The sequence below is a fragment of the Homo sapiens genome, chromosome 14 (genome assembly GCF_000001405.40).
Source record: "Homo sapiens chromosome 14, GRCh38.p14 Primary Assembly".
NCBI classification, from domain to species: domain Eukaryota; kingdom Metazoa; phylum Chordata; class Mammalia; order Primates; family Hominidae; genus Homo; species Homo sapiens.
The window spans coordinates 20,971,112-20,973,651 of NC_000014.9; the positions used below are offsets into that span (position 1 = coordinate 20,971,112).

The window sequence follows — 2,540 nt, forward strand, 5'->3', positions numbered from 1 at the left end:
CTGGAATCAGCCTCAGCACTTAAGGGGCCGCGCGGGAGGAGTTGCCCCACCTCCAGGCAGCTCTTTCCAGAGCAGTGAGGGCAAGTCTGGGGATTATCTCCATAAAGGAAGCGAGGTGGCTCGGTGGAGGGGCTTCAGATCCCCTTCCCAGGACCCTGTGACCCGCCATCGGAAGAGAGTGGACCTCATTCTATTTCAATGTCTGCATAGTACAGACATTTGCTGTGGGCAAATCGGACCCATGAGCCCAGAGAGCATCATCCCGGGAAAGCTTTCCCGAAGCACAGGCTTCCCTGCACCACCATACACGCGCACACCCGCACGCGCTCACTCCCCCAGCCCTCCTCCCCTCCCTCACTCCCGCCCTGGAAGAAGCGGGGAGCTGAGGGGAGAGGTGGAACCAGCAGAGAAACGGGCCGGGCAGGAGCCCGCACCAGCCCGGCTTGGGACACCGCAGCCGCTCCTGCCCTCTGCTGGCTGGAAGGCGCACTTACACATTGCGGTCATCGCGGATCGCCGAGGGCCGCTGGTGCCGCTCTGCCGCCAAGGACGCTCAGCCATTGGAGTAGAAGTGAGAGAGGCCGCGGGCTGAGTAGAGAGGGGTGAGGATTCCGGAAAGGAAGCATCGTCAGGAAGCGCTGAAGTTCCTACTGATAAAGAGGGGGTTGGGCCACCAGCAACTTGTCACATGAGGAGTGGGGGTTTTCTGCATACCTTAGTGAACCTATCAGTCTAGGACTCGTGGATGGAGACTCGGCCACACCAGCAGCTGGTAAAGGCTGTCCTGGGGCCCAAATCCGTCAGTGACTCTGACATCTCAGGGACAGTGTGTGGTGGCTATAGTGCTTTGCGAAGTTGCTGCCGGGAGTTAGGCAGAAACCTCTTAGGCTGTTCAGATCCCTCTTAACTAAGGGGTTTTAGTGCTGTGAGTATTCCCACAAATGGGTCCCTGTAGTACAATTATTTTGCAGCATTCATACGGCCTACTGGGGCTCTTGATTTGAGGAGCCTTATTCAGCAAACATTTCTTGAGTACCTATGTGCCAGGTACGGTTAGAGGTATGGGAGTCATCAGAGAACGCAGGACATACGTACAAAAAAAATCTCTGCTTTCACGGAGGTCACATTCTAGTGACCTAGACACATAATGTATACTCACAGACAATAAACATATATGTAAATTACACAGACTGTTAAGGTGATAAGCTCTATGGAAAAAATAAAGCAGGAAGGAGAATGGGGGAAGCAATGGGTAGCTTTTTTTTTTCTCTCTTTGAGACAGTCTGGCTCTGTCACCCAGGCTGGAGTGCAGTGCAATCTCGGCTCACTGCAACCTCCACCTCCCGGGTTCAAGCGATTGTTGTGCCTCAGCTTCCCAAGTAGCTGGTGTTACAGGCGTGTGCCACCACACCCAGCTAATGTGGGACATGTTAAGTCTGAAGGGTCTATTAGACCTCCAAGTGAAGATGTCAAATAGACAGTCCGATGTACTAGTCCAAAGCAAGAGAGCTGGGCTGGAAGTATGTATTTGGGAGTTGTTAGAGAATCAACAGCATTTAAAACCTTGAGACTGGATAAGATCACCAAGGGATAGTGTGCAGATAGAGAAGAAGACCTATGACTGACTCCTGGGGACCTCTAACATCAAGTTACCAGAGGCAAGAGGAAAAACGTGTGAGGAGCCTAAGAATGAAAGGCCTGGATGGTAAGGAAAGAGCCAGGAGACAGGGGCATCCCAGAGACCATCACGCAGCCTCGACATGACTGCCTGCATTGAGGAACCAGGACTGATCTCACAACGCTTTTCGTCCCTATTCCTGTCACAAGAAGCCCCATTCTCAGGTCATCCTCATCAAAAAGGAGGGAATTATCCACTGTGCCTAATACTGCTGAGTGGAATATTAATCTGTTGGGGTGGGAGGTGTTACTTCCAATGCAAGGAGTGCCCCCACAACCCTCATAACTCCTACTGATGGAGCTGAGGAGTCCATTGAGAAGATTTTTTTTTTTCCGAGATGGAGTCTCGATTTGTCGCCCAGGTTGGAGTGCAATGGCGCAATCTCAGCTCACTGCAACCTCTGCCTCTCAGGTTCAAGTGATTCTCCTGCCTCAGCCTCCCCAGTATCTGGGATTACAGGTGTGTGCCACCATGCCTGGCTAATTTTTGTACTTTTAGTAGAGACGGGGTTTCACCGTGTTGGCCAGGCTGATCTCCAACTGCTGACCTCAAGTGATCCACCCGCCTCGGCCTCCCAAAGTGCTGGGATTATAGGCATGAACCAACATGCCCAGCCTGAGAAGGTTTTCTAAGTGCTGGGCCTTAGAAGAAGAGAATCTTGTCCAGGAGATGATTAGAAAGAGGGTCCACATATGAGCTGTGTTATTTGTTCTAGAGGAGGGAGTGAAGCGATGGAGAGGAGAGCATCTACATCCTTCAGATGAAAGGAAGCTCCCTTCCCCTGATCCCAGACCCCAGATCCTCAGGATTTCACATTCTCCCCATCTCTCCTCACTCCTCCAAGTACTCACCTGAGGAACTC

At 52.1% G+C, this 2,540-nt stretch overlaps 1 annotated feature.

Annotated features, from left to right (window-relative positions):
- Positions 1–690: an enhancer, noted in NCBI's record as "H3K27ac-H3K4me1 hESC enhancer chr14:21439271-21439960 (GRCh37/hg19 assembly coordinates)". NCBI's record gives its function as "activates a minimal SCP1, AML or CMV promoter by ChIP-STARR-seq in primed H9 embryonic stem cells {active_cell/tissue: H9 hESC(primed)}" and the evidence as "EXISTENCE:reporter gene assay evidence [ECO:0000049][PMID:30033119]".